The sequence below is a fragment of the Homo sapiens genome, chromosome 20 (assembly GCF_000001405.40).
Source record: "Homo sapiens chromosome 20, GRCh38.p14 Primary Assembly".
Classification (NCBI taxonomy): domain Eukaryota; kingdom Metazoa; phylum Chordata; class Mammalia; order Primates; family Hominidae; genus Homo; species Homo sapiens.
This window is the reverse complement of record NC_000020.11, coordinates 47,346,850-47,365,995: the sequence shown is the minus strand read 5'-3', so window position 1 is coordinate 47,365,995 and position 19,146 is coordinate 47,346,850. Positions and strand designations below refer to the sequence as shown.

Genomic DNA, 19,146 nt, shown 5'->3' with positions numbered 1-19,146 from the left:
AATTTTTTGTATTTGTATTTTTATTTATTTATTATTTTTATTTTTTATTTTTTCGACTGAGTTTCACTCTTGTTGCCCAGGCTGGAGTACAGTGGCATGATCTCGACTTACCACAACCTCTGCCTCCTGGATTCAAGCGATTCTCCTGCCTCAGCCTTCCTGAGTAGCTGGGATTACAGGCATGCACCACCACGCCCGGCTAATTTTGTATTTTTAGTAGAGATGGGGTTTCTCCACATTGGTCAGGCGGGTCTTGAACTCCTGACCTCGTGACCCACCCGCCTCGGCCTCCCAAAGTGCTAGGATTACAGGCGTGAGCCACTGCGCCCGGCCACTTTATTTTATTTTTTGAGACAGAATCTCACCCTGCTGCCCAGGCTGGAGTGCAGTGATATGATCACCACTCACTGTAGCCTTGAGTTCCTTGACTCAAGTGATCTTCCTACCTCATCCTGTCGAGTAGCTAGGACTACAAGTGTGCACTAGCACGCCTGGCTAATTTCTTCTATTTTTTGTAGAGACATGGTCTTGCTTTGTTGCCCAGGCTGGTCTCGAACTCCTGGGCTCAAGCAATCTGCTCACCTCAGCCTCCCAAAGCACTGGGATTACAGGATTGAGCCATGGGACCCAGCCTCTTTGCACCTTATTTGGTGTAGCCATACCTGGCCTTTTTTTGTTCCGCTGAAACATCAAACTGCCAAGCTCAGACCAACTTAGAGCCTTCATACTTCCTGTTCCCTCCACCAGGAAGGTTCTATGTTCTTCGCTCCAATGTCACAGCCTCCTTAAAGGGTCTCCCCACTTCCTGCCCACACTATCTAAAGCAGATAAACCGGCAGGCACTGTGGCTCATATCTGTAATTCCAGCACTTTGGGAGGCTGAGGTGGGAGGAGCATTTGAGCCCAGGAGTTTGAGATCTGCCCAGACCACAGAGCAAGACCCCTGTCTCTTTTTTTTTTTTTTTTTTTTGAGACGTTGTTTCACTCTTGTTGCCCAGGCTGGAGTGCAATGACACGATCTTGGCTCACAGCAACCTCCGCCTCCCGGGTTCAAGCGATTCTCCTGCCTCAGCCTCCTGAGTAGCTGAGATTACAGGCATGAGCCACCACGCCTGGCTAATTTTGTATTTTTAGTAGAGACGGGGTTTCTCCATGTTGGTCAGGCTGGTCTCGAACTCCCGACCTCAGGTGATCTGCCCGTCTTGGCCTCCCAAAGTGCTGGGATTACAGGCATGAGCCACCGTGCCCAGCCTGACCCCTGTCTCTTACAAATAAAAAATTAAGTCTGGGTGCGGTGGCTCATGCCTATAATCCCAGCACTTTGGGAGGCCGAGGCGGGAGGATCACAAGGTCAAGAAATCGAGACCATCCTGGCCAACATGGTGAAATCCCGTCTCTACTAAAAATACAAAAATTAGCTGGGCGTGTTGGCATGCGCCTGTAATCCCAGCTCAGGAGGCTGAGGCAGGAGAATCTTTTGAACCCGGGAAGCAGAGGTTGTAGTGAGCTGAGATCTCGCCACCACACTCCAGCCTGGTGACAGAGCAAGACTCTGTCTCAAAAACAAACAAAAAAACTAGTAAAAAATTAAAAAAAAAAAATTAGCTGTGTGTGGTGGACACACTTGTGACCCCAGACACTCAGGAGGCTGAGGTGGCAGGATTGCTTGAGCCAAGGTGGTTGAGGCTGCTGTGAGCTGTCATCTTGCCATCACGCTGCAGTCTGGGAAACAGGACGGGGCACGGTGGCTCACGCCTGTAATCCCAGCACTTACGGAGGCCGAGGCGGGTGGAACACAAGTTCAGGAGATCGAGACCATTCTGACTAACACAGTGAAACCCTGTCTCTACTAAAAATACAAAAAATTAGCCGGGCGTGGTGGCGGGCGCCTGTAGTCCCACCTACTCGGGAGGCTGAGGCAGGAGAATGGCGTGAACCCAGGAGGTGGAGTTTGCAGTGAGCCGAGATCGCGCCACTGCACTCCAGCCTGGGCAATAGAGCGAGACTCCGTCTCAAAAAAAAAAAAAAAAAATCCGGCTGCGATGGCTCATGCCTGTAATCCCAGCACTTTGGGAGGCCGAGGCGGGCGGATCACCTGAGGTCAGGAGTTCGCGACCAGCCTGACCAACATGGAGAAACCCCATCTCTACTAAAAATACAAAATTAGCCAAGCATGGTGGCTCATGCCTGTAATCTCAGCTACTCGGGAGGCTGAGGCAGGAGAATCGCTTGAACCCGGGAGGCAGAGGTTGTAGTGAGCCGAGATCATGCCACTGCACTCCAACCTGGGAGACAGGGTGAGACTCCGTCTCAAAAAAAAAAAAAAGAATGGGATGGTTAGTCCTGACCTCAGTTTACTCATATAGGAGTGGGTTGATAAGTATAATGGTGCCTGCTTTATAGTTTTGAGGATAAATGGGTTGGTTCATGTAAAGCGTTTAAAATCGTATCTGATGGCCGGGCACAGTGGCTGACGCCTGTAATCCCAGCACTTTGGGAGGCTGAGGCAGGTGGATCACTTGAGTCAGGAGTTCGAGACCAGCCTGGCCAACATGGTGAAACCCCGTCTCTACTATAAATACAAAAATTAGCCCGGCGTGGTGGCACGCGCCTGTAATCCCAGCTACTCTGGAGACTGAGGCAGGAGAATCTCTTGAACGCAGGAGGTGGAGGTTGCAGTGAGCTGAAGTTGCGCCGCTGCACTCCAGCCTGGGAGACACAGTGAGACTCTATCTCCAAAAAAAAAAAATAATAATAATAAAAAAAAATAAGAGTAAGCCAAGAGGGAAATAGTAACAGCAACTAAATGAGTGCTGACTCTGTGCAGCGTTGCTGCAAGCTTTTGGTAGAGATGATTTATTCAATGATTCCAGGCACTTTTTATTTTTGTTCCCATTGTACTGATGAGAAAATCAAGGCACAGAGAACTTAGTACTTCAAGCAAGGCCGCACAGCTGGCAAGTGGGGTGGCTGGGATCCACACCCAGAGAGTGTGGCACCAGCAGCCACACACTCAATCACTGCACAGTTGTGCTTCTTGATGTGGGGAAGAGAGAGGAAAAAGGTTACAGGTGCAAGAGAAATGGGGCTAGTTTTTAAGCCAGGGCTCAGATGGAAAGATATCTGATGTAGGGTGCAGCAGAAGAGAGGCCTTGTCGGCTGTGGGGAATCCTTTCAGAAGCAGCAGGGAAGATACAGACATGTTGAGGCCCCGCGGAGGAAATGGCTAGCTGCTGGGTGGTTTGGGGAAGTGGGCAGATCCATTGATTGTAGGAAGGGTCAGAGTAGAAGATCAAGTACCACGGCTCCAAGGAGGAGAGAACAAGTTAGAGAATGGAAAGAACAGGTGGATGATCGGAGTGGCCGGAGCAGAGTGAGCCACAGGAGGGTGGAGGGAGATGGTCGGAGGTCAGAAGGGCACAGTGCCAGCCGGGAGGCTGGTGGGCCGTTATCTGGACTTGGGCTGTTACTGAGAAATAGGAGTCATTGATGGATTTTGAGCAGAGGAAGGACAGGAGCTGACTTGTGTTTTGAAAGGATCACTGGCTGGCCGGGAACGGTGGTTCACGCTTGTAATCCCAACACTTTGGGAGGCCAACGCAGGCGGATCGCTTGAGCTTAGGAGTTCCTGACCAGCCTGGCCAACATGGTGAAATTTGAAACCCCGTCTCTACTAAAAATACAAAAAAAAAAAAAAAAATTAGCCGGGCGTGGTGGTTTGCACCTGTAATCCCAGCTACTCGGGAGGCTGAGGCAGCAGAATCACTTGAATCCAGGAGGCGGATGTTGCAGTGAGCTGAGATGGCGCCACTGCACTCCAGCCTGGGCGACAGAGTGAGACTGTGTCTCAGAAAAAATAAAATAAAATAAATAAGTGGCTGGGCATGGTGGCTCACGCCTGTAATCCCAGCACTTTGGGAGGCCAAGGCAGGCGGATCACGAGGTCAGGAGATCGAGACCATCCTGGACAACATGGTGAAACCCCCGTCTCTACTAAAGACACAAAATATTAGCTGGGTGTGGTGGCATGTGCCTGTAATCCCAGCTCCTCAGGAGGCTGAGGCAGGAGAATTGCACGATCCTGGGATACGGAGGTTGCAGTGAGCTGAGATTGTGCCACTGCACTCTAGCCTGGGCGACAGAGTGAGACTTTGTCTCAAAAAAAAAAAAAAAAAAAGGGAGAGAAAAAAAAATAAAAGGATCACTGGCAGCCTGGGTGGTACAGTGTGTGTATGTGTGTGTGAGTGCATGTGTACAAGCGTTTGCAAGGGCGGAAGCAGAGAGCTCAGGTAAGATTCTTGCAACCATCCGGATGGGAGATGGTGTTCTACTGAGCTCTAATATATGTCAAGTGCTGTGTTCAACTCTTGAGGGCATGATGGTGAAGAATTCAGACAAGGTCCTTCCTTGCCTCGTGAAGTGCTCAGCCTGGTGCACAGTTTCTCAGCCTCTGCACTATTGACATTTGAGGCTGGCTAATTCTCCGCTGGGGGGTCTTGTCCTATGTGTTGTAGGATGTTTAGCAGCACTAGATGCCAGTAGCACTCCCCACTTCCCTGAAAGATCTTACAACCCAAAATGGAGACAACCCAAAATGTCCCTAGGCATTGCTAAATGTCCCCTTGCGGGGGCAAAACCACCGGTCCAGTGGGAGGGAGAAACAGAGCGAACGAATCTATAGTCTTCTGCCCATAAAAGTAATTGCTAGGAAGAAAAAAGAGTAGGGCCTGAGTTTTCCTGCTTTTCATTTTCCTTCTGCTCCTGCATCCCTTGCTCGGCGCCCCACCCGCGCTGTGGCCATCTGCCTGATGAGGGGCGACCATCCACCCCCTGCCCTTTCCACTAGCCCTTTTTGTTTTCCCTCCCGCCGTTTGCCTAATCCTGCCAGTCCCTCCTAGAAAGAGGTAAAAAAACAAAACAAAACCAAAAAACCCCACACCCCTCTCCTAGTAGGCATCTTCTCCAAGGGAGGGAGGCTCCTATCTGCCTCTTTGTGGCTGTAACATGACACAGTCAGCTCCGGGCTCTGAAGGTGAGCCCTTCTGTCACCGTGCCCGAAGTTGGCCTCGGTTCTAATTGGCCAGAAAGGAACAAAACAAAACAAGATATTTAAAACACTTCCCTGACTCAATCCTGTCCATTTCGCGTAACGGTCAGAGAGGCCTGCTGTAGCTGGAGGCCGATAACTGCAAGTGTGCTTATTTTTGTAGGCAGCCGAACAGGCTATCTCGGGATGCAGCTTGTGGGGCCGCTCCTGCTGCTGCTCGCCTGGCTGGAGGCCAGCGGAACGGGCGAGCCATTTCAGGGAGGCCAGGCCTCAGCTCGTAAGGTGCTGGGGGAAGGGAGCTGGGGCCAGCCTTTCCTCTCCCTCGAGACCAGTGTTGTTACTGTGACACTCTGCCTGGCTCCCCACAGCCTGATTCTGTACCCCAATCCTCTCTGTACCCTGGGAATATTAAGAGAGACACGTTTTAATCTATTTTTATTAGCTCATTGCTTATTAATATCACCAAAGAACCTGCTTGTTTAGGCCTGTGCTGGCTTTTCTAGCCAGAGGCAGAATGATTGGACTGTTTTCTTCCCTTTCCTTAAAGGGCTTAAAGCCAGGGTTTCCCAACCTTGGACATTTTGGATCAGATACTTCCTTGTTGTGGCGGGGCTGGTCTTGTGTACTTATAGGATGTTTTGCATCATCCTTGGCCTCTACCCACTGGATACCGGTAATACAACCTCCCTAACTGTGACAACCCACACGTCTCCAAGCATTGCCAAATGCCCCCTGAAGGGCAAATCCCCCCATGGTTGAACCACTGGTTTCAGGGAATATAAAAGCCTAATTTTAGAGATGGCAAAGTGTTCCCCCTTGACATCTTGCATCTTGCTGGAGGTTGGGAGGGAGAGGGTCGCTTCCTCTGGGCCTCAATCTGTAATGAGGGGCATTTGAATGAGTCTAATCTAAAAGTTTCCTTCAGCGCCATCATTCAATACTGAAAACCCACCTCAAAAGGGTGGGTCTTCAGGTTGCAGCATTGAGTTGTGATGATGCCACTGCACTCAAGCCTGGGCGACAGAGCGAGACACTGTATCAAAAAACAAAAAAGCAAAAAACTGGTCTACCTCCTAAAAGAAAACACAGATTATGCAGTTGCTGTTCGTAGGTTTCAGCCTCATTGTTTCTGCTGTGCTTGGTTCGGCTTTGCTTTTGCTTCTTTCTTTAGAGCCAGGAGAAGGTACAGAGTTTAGGGATGTGAAGTGCTAACGGGGTGGACATCTGATCTCTGGCACTTCCCAGCTGTGTGACCTTGGGCAGCTCACTTCACCTCTCTGGGCTTAGTTCCAGGTTTCTAACAATGCCACCTACTTCAGGAATCAGTCTATGTAAAGCACTAATTTAGAAGTAACTGCTGGGATACTCACTGCAGTGGGGCTTTAAGAGGAGCTGCTGAATGGATTTCTAGATTGAGACCTGCAACATTTGGTTTTATTTCCTGCTTATCAGCCACATTCCATGAAGCCCAGGACCAGCCCTTCGTAGGCCTGCCCCAGGCTTTCTTTTCAATCTGTGTTCCTCCCAGGATTCCATCTGCCACCATACTTTTGTGTCTGTCCCCAGCCGAATTGCTGTTTTCCAGATAACCTCAGACCTACCCGAATGCCAACAGCATTCCTCAAACAGAGCAGAGCTGCCAGAATAAGCCAGCAGCTTCCTGCTCTTTGCCCCAGAAAACATTTCAAGTGATCAAGTGATCAGAGAGAGGGAGGGAGGCGGGGAGGATGCTGTAGCTGCTTATGCAACAAGCTTTAATCCCAGGTTAAAATCCACCACGCACACCAGCGGCATATTTTATTTCCTCATTGGTTCGTGGACTTAGCTGCATGGGAGATCTGCCACCAACCCCACAGTCCTGTTTGTTCCCCTCAAAGCAGCACCCGCAGAAACAAACAGCATTCCATATGGGATGGCGGTGGAGGGCCGCTGCCCACACAGCTAGGAGGGTGAGCACGCACTGCTTCACTGTGGCCTCCACCTCTCGCCTCCTCCCATTTAGTCTCCCCATGCAGCTTTCTACCTCCAGGAAGAGCAGGCCCCTCCCTTTTGGTGAGGCCCAGGCCTGCTGTCCTGAGCCCTGGAGCTTTGTCAGGTTGGGTGGCCATGGAGCTGTCCCTCCCTGCAGCTTGGCCTCAGCAGCCTAAAACAGTAACAACAGCAACATCCTGTCCGTTTTTATAAAGCCTGGGTCCTGCCCTGCCGTACAGTGAGTTTCGATTCCCAGCTCGTTCCTGAGCCTGTTTGATATGAGATTCCCGGCCAGGAAGAATTTATGTACAAGCAGTGGGCATCTGTTGTCCATGTGGGGGTTGGGGGGGGGCAGGGAAAGCAAGCCATCAGCTCTTCGTTTTCTTTGTGGGAACCGTGTGGGACAAGAAAGCCCACAAGTCCTAATTTTAGGAGGAGAGGGGAGACTTTATTGCTCCGGAGTTATGCCTCCTGGCATATGGCTGCGTTAACTCTGGACGCTTTCTCCAGCCTCTAAAGAATGGTGTTTATTTAGCTTCTGTGGTTCCAGGTTGCTGTTTTAAAAAATCCTGTTAATTAAGCACCTTGTCATTTAAAATGCCGAAGAAGGAAAGAGAGCGAGAAAGCTGGGGACATTTTACGGTCCTTTTCTATCTCTGGGTACAGACCAACTGCGAAGGCAGCTTTAGGGAGGAGACCAGCAAAGACCTCCTAACGCAATTGAAGTGGGTAGAATTGTAAGCAGCTCTGAACAACCAGTTAATATTTTACTGGGGAGCGGTGCCAGAGATGGGGGGGTGGGGGGGCTGCCAAATGGAGGGCTGTGTGTGAAATCGCTGCTCCATCTGCCTTGGGGGACGAAAAGAAGCCGTTCTCTGTGCAAATAAATGGAAGCAAGAATCCTTAGGAAGCCCAGGGGATTTGTCTGCCCACCGAGGAGGGCCCAACTCCCCCAGGCACACACATACAGGGATGATTGTGGCAGGAAGGGCTGACCTACGGGGGTAGGCCTGACGCATAATGGGGGCTCTTGTTTCCGGGCTGAGCGTGCCATCTTTCTGTCTCCCTCTGGATTGAAATGGCTTCTCAGCCCGAGAGGCACTGCCTGTGCCCTGGATTCACAAGGTACACGCCTCCCTGGGAAGCAAAGGCTGAGAGACAGCGGCTCTCTCTCTCTCTTTCTGCATCTGCCGGGAGAGCTGCAGCTGGTATTTTTCCACAGGCCTTCGCTGCGATCTCAAGGCCTAGTTTTTCCCAGCCAGGCCCCGAGTCCGAGAGAGGGTTAACAGGCAGGAAGCCGAAGGCATCGCAGGCTAATACGGAAGTCAGATTTGTGTTTAACTGACAGGTTTAGCAGGTCTCGGCCGCGGGGGAGGGGCCGGGAGGGAAGGGAAGTTTGTAGATCCAGGCATGTGGCCTGCGAGGAGGGCTTTGGGTTTTTCTTAGGGTAAGGACCGAGAGGGGTCCCCCTTGGCATCGTGGCAGGGCGACAGGAACCCACGTTGATTTTGCCTGCAGGACTGGCTAAGCAGGGCGCGAGAGGCCCACGGCTCCCTGGCCTGCCTTGCAAGGAGGCATGGGGACAATGACTATGCAAACTTGACCACTCTGCTCCCCTCCTCCCCTCAGCAGCTACTCCTCGCTCCTCTGAGAAGCCAGGGCTGCTCTCTGCTGATTTTTCGGGGCTCCCCCGGGCTGCCTGCTTCCCCCAGCTTCTCAGAGGCCTGCCTCAAGCCCCTTTTTCTGGCCCCTTGGCTGTTTCCCCGGGACTCCCCACTCCCCAGCTTCCCCTTCCCCTTGGAGAGCCACCCTGCTGGACTGTTCTAGAAAAAGGCTGGCCTTCCTCCCTGGACAAGGGCCGTTTCTCTGGGGGCAGGTGAGGGTGAGCCGTTCCAGCCCACTCCAAGAAACTCCCTTCCCAGGGACCTCCGGGCCTCAGGCTTTCCTGGAGCAGGTCAGGCTGGCTGCCCTGGCTGGCCCGTGCCGGGAAATCTAGCCAGGGTGCAGGAGAAGTGCGTGTGGGGGCCCCTTTCCCAAGTTTTTCTTGCTGCAAAAGGCCTAGCTTAGCCTGTCTTTTTCTATGCACAGGATGGCTCTTGCTCACCCGAGCCTCACAAAGATAATCGCTCAGGAAGTGTTTCAGCCAATCCGGGGCGGCTTTACACTCCGATTTGCCGGGGCAGCCAATCGGGGATGAGCTTTTATTAGGCGGCCAGATCATCAGCCGAAGTGCCAAACCCTTTTTCTGTGAGAACTAGGAGCCTGTCCTCCATGTTTTATAAGTATTGACATTACACAGTGTTAACAATGCATCCACAGAGGTAAGCTCGACTTTTTAACCATCTTTTTTCCCCCTCCCTCTGAGACATCCGAATTGTGGGCGAGCAGTGTGATTTCTCTGTGGCTGGCCGTGCCACACTCACCCCCAGAGCACTTATGTTAACTTGGAACTGTTTAGAGAGAATTTTTTTGCTTTCTTGGGTCACATGGCTCAGTAGCCATTAGCCATAGCTTGATTTTGCAAACTGGCAAGGGCCTGGCACACCTTTCCTTCCACCAGGGCATGGTGTTTCTGGAAGAGTTTGAAGCTAGATCCTGGTATGCCAAAAAAGAAGCTTTTTTTTTTCCTTCTTTTTTTTTTTTTCTTTCCCTCTTCCCTCTCTCTTCCCCTCTCTCTCTCTCTGAGCAGTTCCCCCCCTCCCACCCCTGCACTATTGTCTTCTCTTTTGCCACATGCCCTGCTGGGGGAAGAAAATGGAAGGTAAGCAAACAGGCTCCTCTCCAAGGAGAGCTCATGGCAGACAGCAGAGCAGGCAAGTTTGCCTCTCCAAAGAGGTTCTGGGAAGGCTGGATAAGTTTTGACAAGAGAGGAGCGTGTTTGCAAAAGAATTGTGCCCTCAGCAGAGCAGTGCTAAGGAGAGTCTAGCTCCTGGGGCCTAGGTGGGTGGTGGTGTCTGTACACGGTCTTCTCTTATTCTACAGAGCTTCTGCACTTGAAACTACATTGTTCAGCCTGTTTTCCTGACTTAGGTTGCTACAGAGTGTTCTGCAAGCCAGCCTACAGCCAGCAAATGTTTCTGAAAGTGTTTTCTAGGCTTTGGAGGAAGTTTTTTGGAGTAGGGATGGGGACTGGGGGGTGGGGGGAGAGATCTTGGACAACATCCTGCAAAAAAAAAAAAAAAAAAAAATCTGCAAGGATTCTGAATCCCTTAGCTTTCTACTCTTGCATGATTTTCAAGGAACTAATGTTACCTTTTATCCTTGTTTTCATTTTCCTGTCCCTTTTATACATTGTATCCTCCTCTCTTCTCCTGTGTCATGGAGTGTAGAGGAAATAAAATCATGTCTGTGGCTCATGACAGCATTCCATATTCAGTTGTTGGGTTGTGTTGTTGTTGTTGTGTGTGTTTTTAATAATACCATGTAACTGTTTAAAAAAATTTCCTTTTTGATCAAGTCCCAAATCTGCCAGCCTGTTCTCTCTTCCTAACTGTGGAAAAATGAGACGGTTGCTTGAACATTTGTTGGGTAAGTAAAGCAATCCATTTCCTCTGTGACCATGTTTGAAGAGTTTTGCGAACATTTGGGGTCTGTTTGTAATAGTGGGTCTTGGCTACAGGAGTTGGGGGCTTCATTAGCAGGAACAAAATAAGGGCTTTTTAAAGAGTGTCTTGATTTTAGGTGACTGTTTGAATCCACTGTTTTTCCTGATAACCTGCAGCTAGGATTGAAGATTATACTTCCTGTTTACCCTGAGTCAGGGGAGAAATGTTCAGTTCATTGTGACTTGACTCTAGACCTTTAATGGGGTTTGTTTGGATATTCAAACTGTGAGTAGGTGATGTGCTTGTGAAATGTCATGAAACTGCTTGTTCTTAGAGGTGCAGAGCCCTAAAAACATTGGTGGTGTAGAAGCTGGTGGTGGTGGTGGTATGTGTGTGTTGGGGGGGTGGTGTCAGTGTGCTCATGTTTTAGGACTTATGTATAGTGCAAAATCTCATCTACCACCAGACTGGGTTTGATTCAGGACTCACTGACCAACACATTTTGGCCTTTTTTCAGGTCTCCTCCACACATCTGTATGCATGCTGGCCCCACATAAGATTTCTCACTTTTTACATTTCCCTTGACCACTTAAGGCTGCAGCTAGAAGTTAAGTGGGAAAAGTAGAGTCTTGTTTAGCAGTACCTTCAGAATTTCCCTAGAAGTTCAGTACATAAATTTTCAGCTTGGAGACCAATCCGACATGACCGTAAATGCAGGAAATATATTCAATTGCTGTGTTATGTCAACTTTATGGAGTCAGTAATCTTTTTTCTTTCAAATGAGTGTCCAGTAGCCCACTTTCTGACACCGAATTGGAAAAAGGCTCATTTAATCAGCAGAAACGTACCACATTCTAAGTTGAGAAAAGTCTGTGCAAGGCAGGCCAGCTTAGCTTCTTAGAGTAAAACTGCAGGCAGTTAATGATGTTATATACTTAAAACTGAACAGTGCCACTGCCCCAAACAAGTAAGTTCAGACACTCAGCTATTTTCTTTGTTCTTATCTCCTTGCTGTAAATGGAAATTACATATCGAGGTTCTTGTGGCCTCCCTAGAAGCAATATCTAATCATAAGACTCCTGGTTTGGTGCCTTCAACGTTTGCATAATACTGTGTTTGTTGGGCTGGAAGGGAACTTAAGGGCAAGGCATTTGTCCTCTAAAAGCTTGCATTAAAATGGCTCCCACAGGTTTGGAGAGCCAAGATCTGTTTTCAAATGTACAGCCCCCAGCAAGTTCCCAACCCTGGACCAAGCTAGCCACTTTTCCTCTGGTACTGTGACCCCTACCAAGCATGAGTCTGTAAAAAGTTAATTGCTTTCAAAGTAGCATTATTTTCCAGTTTCAGGAAAGGGGGAAAAAAATAAATGTCTGCATTGCAGCAGGACTAGGTAGGGACGGCAGTACTGGCTCCCAGAGCAGCCCAATGGGGTTCTTCTACTCTAGCTTTTAAACCAATAGACTTGGAGGAAAGGTTAAAGATTGACAATTGCAGTGGCCGAACTAAGAACGGGCCTTCTGGAAATTTCTACCATCTTTGTTCCTTTTAGGAAAAGCAGATCTGCCAAGCAGAAGCGTCTCCTACCTTCCATTCCTAGGTCATCTCCCTTCCCTGCTTCCCCCCAACCCCCCTTCTTTTTCTCATCAAGGTAGAATGTTCTCTCTGCCACGTTTGTAAATTGCAGAAGGAGGAACAGAATGTTGGGCTGTTTTCCTTTTTCCTTCTGCCTCCTCAGTCCCCAAAGAGGATACACAGCTGCAAGGAGCAAACACAGACACACTGAAGCTTTTGATTCCTCTCCTTTTTTTTCCTTCAAGACCCTCCAGGATGGATTCACTTTCTGCTTTGGGAAATTAAGTGGCATTCACGTGGGGGAGGGGGAGTAACTGCTTTTATTAGCTCCAGAAAATGGTCAGTGTTCAGTCTGTAACTAGGAATTAATTATATATAATCACTCAGTAAACTTTCTACAGAGTTTTTCTAATTGCTGAGCCTGATCATAGTTAGCCCGTTGGCGCCAAGTCCAGTTACTTTTATAATTAACAGCTCAAAGATTTGAGTCAGAAAGAAACAATTGGGGGCCTCTTGGATTATAAATTAGGGATGAAAACAATAGCTTTTTTTCCTTTCTTTCTTGTCATCCCTTTTATTTTCAACAAAACATTTCCCCTTTTCTTTCCCTGGGAGAACCAGTGGGGAGACTGCATCAGGTCTTAAATAGGATGAGGGGGGAGACACTTTTTAGGAAGTGGGGTGACAGTAACCTAGAAAACCCTGGAGGCAAAGGTAGGTTTTTAAAAGTCCAGCCACTTGCAACGCGTGATGTCTTTGTTTCTTTTGCCCTCTTTCCCCTTCTCTCTCCTGTGGCAGAGGCAGCAGACATTTGTCAGCCTGGGAACCCTCAATCTGGCTTTGCCTCTGGTTGACTCTGGAAAGAAAGATACATTCAAAGGGGCCTTCGCTACTGCACAGCAGAGATTTAAAAAGGGAATATGTTTCAGAACCCTTTGGTTACTCTTAAAATGCAAGATCTGAGCAAGGGTTCACCCTTGGCTTCAGGTTGCTAAGGTTATGGTCACCCTCCCCGCTACTTCCCACTCTCCTTGCAGACAAACAAACAGGCAGTGGCCATGCCAGCTCTGCAGCCAGTGTGCTGCCAGCCTGTCCCCCCCATCCCGATTACCTTACCTACCGGCCGGCGGGGGCCAGTGGCCCGTCCTTGCCCTGGCATGGCCTTGGGCACTGTGCCCTCCTTTCTCCCCTGGAGCTAAAAAGCAGTCACCTTGAAACTCCTCACTCCCAGCACCAGAGGAGTTCTGAGGCCAATGCTCAGACCTGTAACAGTAAATGACGTTATCCACTCAGGCTGTTAGTTCGGCCTCTGAAAGCGGGTTTTGCAAAACCCATTGTTAATTCTCAGGCTCTGTTGGGGGTGGTCAGAAATCTAATTTGTGAGTATCCTGTGCATTGGATAAGGGAATGTTTTCCTTGTGTTTCTCCTCTGCAGACTCGGATTGTCTTTCCTTGATGTTAACTGTCTTAGGACTGGCTGCTTCAGAGGGCTGGGTATTTGGTGGCTGTTTGCAGGCTTATAAACAGCCTTTTTATTTTACCTTTGCCGTAGACTGAGGTGCAGCCCTTTAGCTTGGCTTTTCAGATGCCTGCTGTCCTTGAAGCACTTTCATTTTACCTAGCGCCTTTTTGGTATGGATGCAAAGCTGGTTTCTAATAGACTGAGAAGAGAAGGGGGACCGGGCTTCCTCCTTGCCTTCCCCCAGGCTGCTCCCTGGGAACATTTTTGTGTTTGCACAGACACCTGTCCGTCTGCAGTTTGTGCCACGGGGCTGCACGATTCCTAACCTTCTACCCACCTAATTTGAGGGCAAGGGGGCCTCATCACAGAGCCTCATGTTGAAGGCTCAGGATCTACAAGAGAAGGCTTTTCCTTAGGAACCTGTGACTTCACAAACTCTCCCTGTCATTGCAGAGTTTTTTTTAAGCTTCTAAACGTTGGGTTGTTGGTGTCCTTTGGTTCAGCTTTTCCTAGTTCTGGTATTTAGGAAGGTGGCTTTGAAACTCGCAGGGCTGCTTAAACAAGAGCTACAGCTATTGAACAAACTGCTACCATTTTAGCTTCAACACAGGAATGAGGCAGTGTTGCCAGACGCCATTTTAAGAATCCTGCATAAATAGCTTAGCTACCGATGACTCTGCCTGTTTTAGGTGAGTGCTTATATAAAGCTGCTCTGCTAACCATTCCCCCCCACCCCAATTTCTTAAAAAATTAATTGTAGATTTAGGGAAGCATGGTTTTTAATTTTGATGTTCACTATTTTGTAATCTAGAAGAGGAAGATGTTATGCCTTGGGGATTAAATATTTCTTACAGCCTGGACCATTTTGGTATTTTGAATGAAAAGTAAAAACCAGGAAAAGTCCTTTCGAATGATGCATGATTCTTGAATTGCTGTGCGATGATCCTCATCTGTAGAACCAGAGTCTTGTGCATGTTGGTTATATATTCTAGATGGCTTAGATACTCTTCTTTAAAAGTCAAATAGTAGGGGCACTTGGGGAAAAGAAATATGTGGGCATTGTGTATTCAGGCATTTTTCTGTCAAAACTAGATGCTTTCTTTTTTCTCTCTCTTGGAAGTGTTGAGGAGATGAGATTCCTGGGAATTACGGACCATCCCTGAGTCCTCAGAATTAACAATCAGAAGGCTTAAAGCATCCTGGAGGTGCAGTAGTTCATCTGCAACTTTTAATTGCTCTTTTTTCAGTGCATGCAGGTTAAGAAGTAAGCATAGGTTTTCTTGCTCAGGCACTGGGGGAGAAATCTTTTATTCTTTTTGGGATGGGATGGGGTGGTCTTGGTTATCTTTGCAGGTACTGTTATTTCTTTGAATTGCCTCAAATGTATCAGTTTGTGAAATCTGCAGGCAAATGACTTGGGTAAATGTGAGTGTAAGAGGTGGTGGTGTATACAATGTATCTAACTAGTTGATGGTGTATTTTCCTATTGGAGTGAGAAATTGTTTGCTTTTCAGCTAATTTTACCCTTTTCTGTAGCGGGCCCCCAGTTTCCTCAACAGACCTTTAAAGGGAAAAAAGTAATGTCAGTTTGAAACAAGAGCTTGTTGTCCCATTGTTTTTGATTTAAATCATCAGGGTTGCTGGAAGCTAGCAGATATGGAAGGAAATAAGCTGTCTATGTTCTAAGACTTTAATGTGTTAATGACAGAAGTTCAGAGTATTTTCTCCAGATGCAGCTGCCTTTTCTTTTTAAGAATTATTTGACTGTTTTTTTTCCCCCAAATGACTGAACAGTTCTTAACCTAAATTGACCAACATCAGTGGGGCAATTCAGACAGGTACAGATCTTTTCTTGCGCCTACTTTTGATGTAATATTCATTTTTTTTTCCTAATAACATACTAGTTCTTAACACTAAATCAAAAAAAAACACACACACACACACAAAAAAACCGAAATCAGTGGTGTAGGAAAAAGGAAGTCCCTTTAGATGTGGCTATTCAAAATGACTAATTTTGCATTCTGGTCTTTGCTTTTGTAAATGAAGTTTTTTTTTTTTTTTTTTTTTTTTCTCCTTTTAATGCATAGACACTGCAGTTTCCTTTAGTCAAATACAAGTTAATTGTGTGTGTGAGTGTGCGTGCATGTGTGTGCACGGGTTCCTTTTGAAAGGATGGTTTGCTGATCTGTGAAAAAGATGGTTTTCTTAAATTGTTGTGCTTGAAATGCTGTGCTAAAGCTGGTGGTGCTATTGCTAAAGTTGGGTGATTATGGTGCCCACTTGTAATACTTGGAAAGATAAAACAGCTTAACTTTTTTTTCCCTCTCTCTTCTGCTCCAGCATTGATTATCTTAAAACTCAGAAGCAAATAGCCACCACATAACTAGTTTGCATTTTCCTCGTCTCTCAGCAGCATTCCTGCCTGAAGTATTCAGCTCCTCTAGGCTGTTACAAGCCAAATAATGGTTCCCTTGAATGCAGCCTTCCTCCATGATCAATACACCTTTGAATGTTTTCATCGCTGCAGAAATCCTTCAAGTGGGTTTTTTTTGGCTCAGTTCTGCATAATTGTTTCCCTCACCACTGTAGATTTCAGTTGGATCACAGATTAGCGTTTTCTCTATTACTCAAAATATGGGATCGGTTTCAAGAAGTTTAGAATTTCACATACTTCATGCTAGAGAGGGAAACAGAATTCTAGTTGCTAGAAAAGATCAAGGTTGCTATTTGTTCCTTTGAAGTTAACTGTCTACCCATCTCCGAGGGCTGCATGGGGCTTTTTGTTAAGATGTATTTCCAGTCACCCCAAGCCAGAACCCATCAACAGCATCCAGTTGGACAACCTGTGTATGTTTCAGGCAGAGTGTTTCTGAGTTGAGAATGTTTTCTCCTTAAGTTGGAATAGAAAGCATTAGTGCTGAAATAACCTTCAATAAATCACCGTTGTATTATTGCATATAAGCGATGTGTTTAAATTTAGCAGGCTGCTTTCTCCTGATGAAAACCATTTGTGACAACATGTCAGTTGTTTCTTTGGTGATTTGTGTCACAGGCTTTCTTTACAGATGCGGTGTAAATGAAATTGTTAACGGGGTTCAAAATCAGATGGCTAAATGTGTTAATATTCTCATTTAAACCCAACTACCTTTCTTCGTCTCCAAGCCCCTATAATTTAACTCTGAACTATAATCTTTTCCATTCTATCTAGCTCCCATCCTAAGTCCTCTCCTCCTAACGTGGAACTCTCCTAAAATCTTCTCCTTATACTAGGGTTCGAGACATGAGGCTGTCTTTTTGGGCCTTTTGCGTTGTCACAGTCCCAGACCACGGAACATTCTCTCTTCCCCAGGACAGGACATTCTCTCTTCCCCAGCCTCCTTCCTGTCCTGGCGTTGAGTCTTCCAAATGGAAAATTCCAGCCATATCAATTGGTGATGCACCCATTTCTTCCTGTGGAACGACAGTCTGATGGAATTGCTTCTGGAGTAAATGCCCAGCTTCTTACCACTTCAGTGTCAGCCTGAATGTTTGGAAAGTTCTAGCACCTCAAACCATTTGCATCTATGAAAGCAGAACTCTATTTTTTCCCTTTGGTTTAGCTTGTGAGTTCTCTGTGGGAGGAAGATCTGATATGGCCGGCTCTCTTTCAACCCTAGTTCCAGCAGAGAGAGAGAGAGAATGTTCTGGGTGACGGACCCTCCCAGCAAAGGGGCTTGCTTTATTTGCTTCTCTCCCCAACCCTCCACTCTTAGCCTTTGTCTTTTGAATAATCCTTCCTCATTCCACTTTTGTGGTGGGGGATAATTAGTCACAACTCAGTAGTAAGCCGTGCCTGCTGTAGAGAGGAAGCATTCAGGGGGTTGGAAGTGTGGAGACCCCAGTCTGATTGCTGGAATCAGTGCTCCTCGGTTCAGTGTTTTGAGACCAGGTCTTTAGCTTCTAGCTGGGCATATTTTTCTGCTTTGTAATTTAACCTGTATCTTTTTTTTCCCATGTTCCTGCCTCATCAGGGAATTGTAAGATTTAGGGGGAGGTGTGGGAAATCTTACTCTTTGCCCTAAAGTATTCAGCGATCAGAATTCTGGATACCCTGCAAAACACCTCCAACCTCCCTGCCTTTGAACCCTGTGTTAACAATGAGAAGCTTGTTTATTTGAAGGCTGGGTTCTCATTGGCCCACAGGGGTAGGTTGTAATTGTGTGTCTAAAAAATTGCCTTTTGCATTCCCCAATAGCATGACAACTGGAATAGTAATTTGACTTAAAAAAAAAAAGAACAACCTAGTGTTTTAAAAAACTCCTTTAGGACTCTTCACACTTTGTTGAAATCAGGTGTGGGTTTCCTCCCCCAGCCCTGGATAAGGATGAGGGAATGTCTTTAAGGTGTGTTTGTTGCTAGAACTTCCAAATAGCTGCCCCCATGGGGCAAGTTCTCAGCCTTCCTAAACATGAACATAATTTGCTCTGTTTCAGCTTGGCTGAAGAGGAAATAAAAACAGAACAGGAGGTGGTAGAGGGCATGGATATCTCTACTCGCTCCAAAGGTGAGTAAAAATCTTGTATTATCTATTCTAGAGCTAAGGAGGAAATTGGAATTTCTTTTTGTTGTTGTAGTGCAGTGAAGTGTGTGGCTCTCTGAGCCGACGTTGTAACTCTTCTTGGATTTTCAGATATAAGATTTTTTGATGGATGAACCTAATTGATGGAGAACTCTCCTCCTTTTGGTTTTCTTTCCCTGGTGCCTGTGTAGGGGTCCTGACAGTGAATTTTACCTGTGTGTCATGACTGAGGGTGGCTGGCTACCTCTCCGCAGGGTGACTTTCAGGAGCCACAGTTTAAATAAAGCATGTTCTGGAAGCCACCAGAGCCTCTAGCTGCTGCTCGTTTTCTGATTTTAACAACAGACCTCTTTGGAATCCCAGAAGTGGGATGAAGTCAGCCCGCTTCACTGGAAAGTGGTGGTCTTGGGTTAGAGATAAAAAGGAAATGTAGAGCTTGCTGGGATGCCGGGGCCAGTGTTTGCATTTAGTTCAAAATTTAGCAAATTAGGACAAACACAATTTATGCGTTTATTCACAAGCCTGGAGTAGACTCCTGAATATCTTCTAATTGAGGGATTGGTACTTTTCATTTGGTCTTTGTGAAAGAGATTTTATGAGGCTTCCCAAAATGAAGCAGTTATTCACTTTTACCTTCAGGGTGCTTTCACAAATGAGCTACTGGAGTATTTTTCGTATCTTTGGTTGATGAAAAGGCTCATCTCCAAACTTAATGGTTGTACCAAGGTGTTTTCATTCCTTCAACAAGTCACTGAGTGCTTTCTTGGAACACACAGCCTTGCACTGGGGGTTATGGGGAGGGAGGAAGAGGCTGGACAGGGTTACTGCATACTGCCGGAAGGAGATTCTCATTTGGCTGCAGAGTGTCGCACAAAGTGACTCCCTAAAGGCGTCTGAAACCAAAAGCATTTTGAGGATTGTTACAAGACAGCGTGTCGCCAGGCGTGGTGGCTCATGCCTGTAATCCCAGCACTTTGGGAGGCCAAGGCGG

The 19,146-nt window shown here is 47.3% G+C and overlaps 1 protein-coding gene and 1 long non-coding RNA gene across 21 annotated transcripts in view, besides 18 other annotated features; one reads left to right on the top strand and one right to left on the bottom strand.

The window, feature by feature from the left end:
- Positions 4,819-5,474: a transcriptional cis regulatory region, noted in NCBI's record as "candidate enhancer chr20.2033 targeted for multiplex CRISPR interference". NCBI's record gives its function as "positively regulates ZMYND8 gene expression with high confidence in K562 cells {active_cell/tissue: K562}" and the evidence as "EXISTENCE:mutant phenotype evidence [ECO:0000015][PMID:30612741]".
- Positions 4,917-5,211: an enhancer, noted in NCBI's record as "tiled region #630; K562 Activating DNase unmatched - State 5:Enh". NCBI's record gives its function as "activates a minimal TATA promoter and a strong SV40 promoter by Sharpr-MPRA in K562 cells {active_cell/tissue: K562}" and the evidence as "EXISTENCE:reporter gene assay evidence [ECO:0000049][PMID:27701403]".
- Positions 5,082-5,231: an enhancer, noted in NCBI's record as "active region_17988". NCBI's record gives its function as "activates an Ori minimal core promoter by ATAC-STARR-seq in GM12878 lymphoblastoid cells {active_cell/tissue: GM12878}" and the evidence as "EXISTENCE:reporter gene assay evidence [ECO:0000049][PMID:35858748]".
- Positions 6,436-7,043: an enhancer, noted in NCBI's record as "NANOG-H3K27ac-H3K4me1 hESC enhancer chr20:45987697-45988304 (GRCh37/hg19 assembly coordinates)". NCBI's record gives its function as "activates a minimal SCP1, AML or CMV promoter by ChIP-STARR-seq in primed H9 embryonic stem cells {active_cell/tissue: H9 hESC(primed)}" and the evidence as "EXISTENCE:reporter gene assay evidence [ECO:0000049][PMID:30033119]".
- Positions 6,436-7,651: a biological region, named in NCBI's record as "NANOG-H3K27ac-H3K4me1 hESC enhancers GRCh37_chr20:45987089-45987696 and GRCh37_chr20:45987697-45988304". NCBI's record gives its function as "regulatory_interactions: ZMYND8".
- Positions 6,577-6,871: an enhancer, noted in NCBI's record as "tiled region #8218; HepG2 Activating DNase unmatched - State 1:Tss". NCBI's record gives its function as "activates a minimal TATA promoter and a strong SV40 promoter by Sharpr-MPRA in HepG2 cells {active_cell/tissue: HepG2}" and the evidence as "EXISTENCE:reporter gene assay evidence [ECO:0000049][PMID:27701403]".
- Positions 6,977-7,190: a transcriptional cis regulatory region, noted in NCBI's record as "candidate enhancer chr20.2032 targeted for multiplex CRISPR interference". NCBI's record gives its function as "positively regulates ZMYND8 gene expression in K562 cells {active_cell/tissue: K562}" and the evidence as "EXISTENCE:mutant phenotype evidence [ECO:0000015][PMID:30612741]".
- Positions 7,044-7,651: an enhancer, noted in NCBI's record as "NANOG-H3K27ac-H3K4me1 hESC enhancer chr20:45987089-45987696 (GRCh37/hg19 assembly coordinates)". NCBI's record gives its function as "activates a minimal SCP1, AML or CMV promoter by ChIP-STARR-seq in primed H9 embryonic stem cells {active_cell/tissue: H9 hESC(primed)}" and the evidence as "EXISTENCE:reporter gene assay evidence [ECO:0000049][PMID:30033119]".
- Positions 7,652-8,257: an enhancer, noted in NCBI's record as "NANOG-H3K27ac-H3K4me1 hESC enhancer chr20:45986483-45987088 (GRCh37/hg19 assembly coordinates)". NCBI's record gives its function as "activates a minimal SCP1, AML or CMV promoter by ChIP-STARR-seq in primed H9 embryonic stem cells {active_cell/tissue: H9 hESC(primed)}" and the evidence as "EXISTENCE:reporter gene assay evidence [ECO:0000049][PMID:30033119]".
- Positions 7,652-8,286: a biological region, named in NCBI's record as "NANOG-H3K27ac-H3K4me1 hESC enhancer GRCh37_chr20:45986483-45987088".
- Positions 7,937-8,286: an enhancer, noted in NCBI's record as "active region_17987". NCBI's record gives its function as "activates an Ori minimal core promoter by ATAC-STARR-seq in GM12878 lymphoblastoid cells {active_cell/tissue: GM12878}" and the evidence as "EXISTENCE:reporter gene assay evidence [ECO:0000049][PMID:35858748]".
- Positions 8,866-9,473: an enhancer, noted in NCBI's record as "NANOG-H3K27ac-H3K4me1 hESC enhancer chr20:45985267-45985874 (GRCh37/hg19 assembly coordinates)". NCBI's record gives its function as "activates a minimal SCP1, AML or CMV promoter by ChIP-STARR-seq in naive H9 embryonic stem cells {active_cell/tissue: H9 hESC(naive)}" and the evidence as "EXISTENCE:reporter gene assay evidence [ECO:0000049][PMID:30033119]".
- Positions 8,866-9,486: a biological region, named in NCBI's record as "NANOG-H3K27ac-H3K4me1 hESC enhancer GRCh37_chr20:45985267-45985874".
- Positions 9,037-9,331: an enhancer, noted in NCBI's record as "tiled region #8686; HepG2 Activating DNase unmatched - State 1:Tss, and K562 Activating DNase unmatched - State 1:Tss". NCBI's record gives its function as "activates a minimal TATA promoter and a strong SV40 promoter by Sharpr-MPRA in HepG2 and K562 cells {active_cell/tissue: HepG2 | K562}" and the evidence as "EXISTENCE:reporter gene assay evidence [ECO:0000049][PMID:27701403]".
- Positions 9,297-19,146, top strand: part of ZMYND8 (zinc finger MYND-type containing 8) — a 147,486-nt gene continuing 137,636 nt past the window's right edge. For 15 of the 20 annotated variants that reach the window (NM_001281781.3, NM_001281784.3, NM_001281771.3 and 12 more), the window contains exons 1-2: positions 9,297-9,339; positions 18,070-18,140. In NM_001281781.3, coding sequence (NP_001268710.1) covers positions 9,326-9,339; positions 18,070-18,140 — 85 coding nt within the window. In that variant the 5' untranslated portion in view covers positions 9,297-9,325. Of the gene's footprint in view, positions 9,340-9,559; positions 9,617-10,475; positions 10,547-14,246; positions 14,287-14,717; positions 14,803-16,007; positions 16,136-18,069; positions 18,141-19,146 lie in introns of those variants that run through there. The other 5 variants (NM_001281774.3, NM_001281773.3, NM_001281772.3 and 2 more) reach the window with 4 other exon arrangements.
- Positions 9,317-9,486: an enhancer, noted in NCBI's record as "active region_17986". NCBI's record gives its function as "activates an Ori minimal core promoter by ATAC-STARR-seq in GM12878 lymphoblastoid cells {active_cell/tissue: GM12878}" and the evidence as "EXISTENCE:reporter gene assay evidence [ECO:0000049][PMID:35858748]".
- Positions 10,689-11,296: an enhancer, noted in NCBI's record as "H3K27ac-H3K4me1 hESC enhancer chr20:45983444-45984051 (GRCh37/hg19 assembly coordinates)". NCBI's record gives its function as "activates a minimal SCP1, AML or CMV promoter by ChIP-STARR-seq in naive H9 embryonic stem cells {active_cell/tissue: H9 hESC(naive)}" and the evidence as "EXISTENCE:reporter gene assay evidence [ECO:0000049][PMID:30033119]".
- Positions 10,769-10,848: an enhancer, noted in NCBI's record as "active region_17985". NCBI's record gives its function as "activates an Ori minimal core promoter by ATAC-STARR-seq in GM12878 lymphoblastoid cells {active_cell/tissue: GM12878}" and the evidence as "EXISTENCE:reporter gene assay evidence [ECO:0000049][PMID:35858748]".
- LOC101927377 (uncharacterized) lies at positions 11,363-13,435 on the bottom strand. Its single transcript, NR_134501.1, has 2 exons — positions 13,256-13,435; positions 11,363-12,991 (listed from the first exon to the last, which is right to left on the bottom strand). It is a non-coding gene; the product is annotated as an uncharacterized LOC101927377 (long non-coding RNA).
- Positions 13,176-13,325: an enhancer, noted in NCBI's record as "active region_17984". NCBI's record gives its function as "activates an Ori minimal core promoter by ATAC-STARR-seq in GM12878 lymphoblastoid cells {active_cell/tissue: GM12878}" and the evidence as "EXISTENCE:reporter gene assay evidence [ECO:0000049][PMID:35858748]".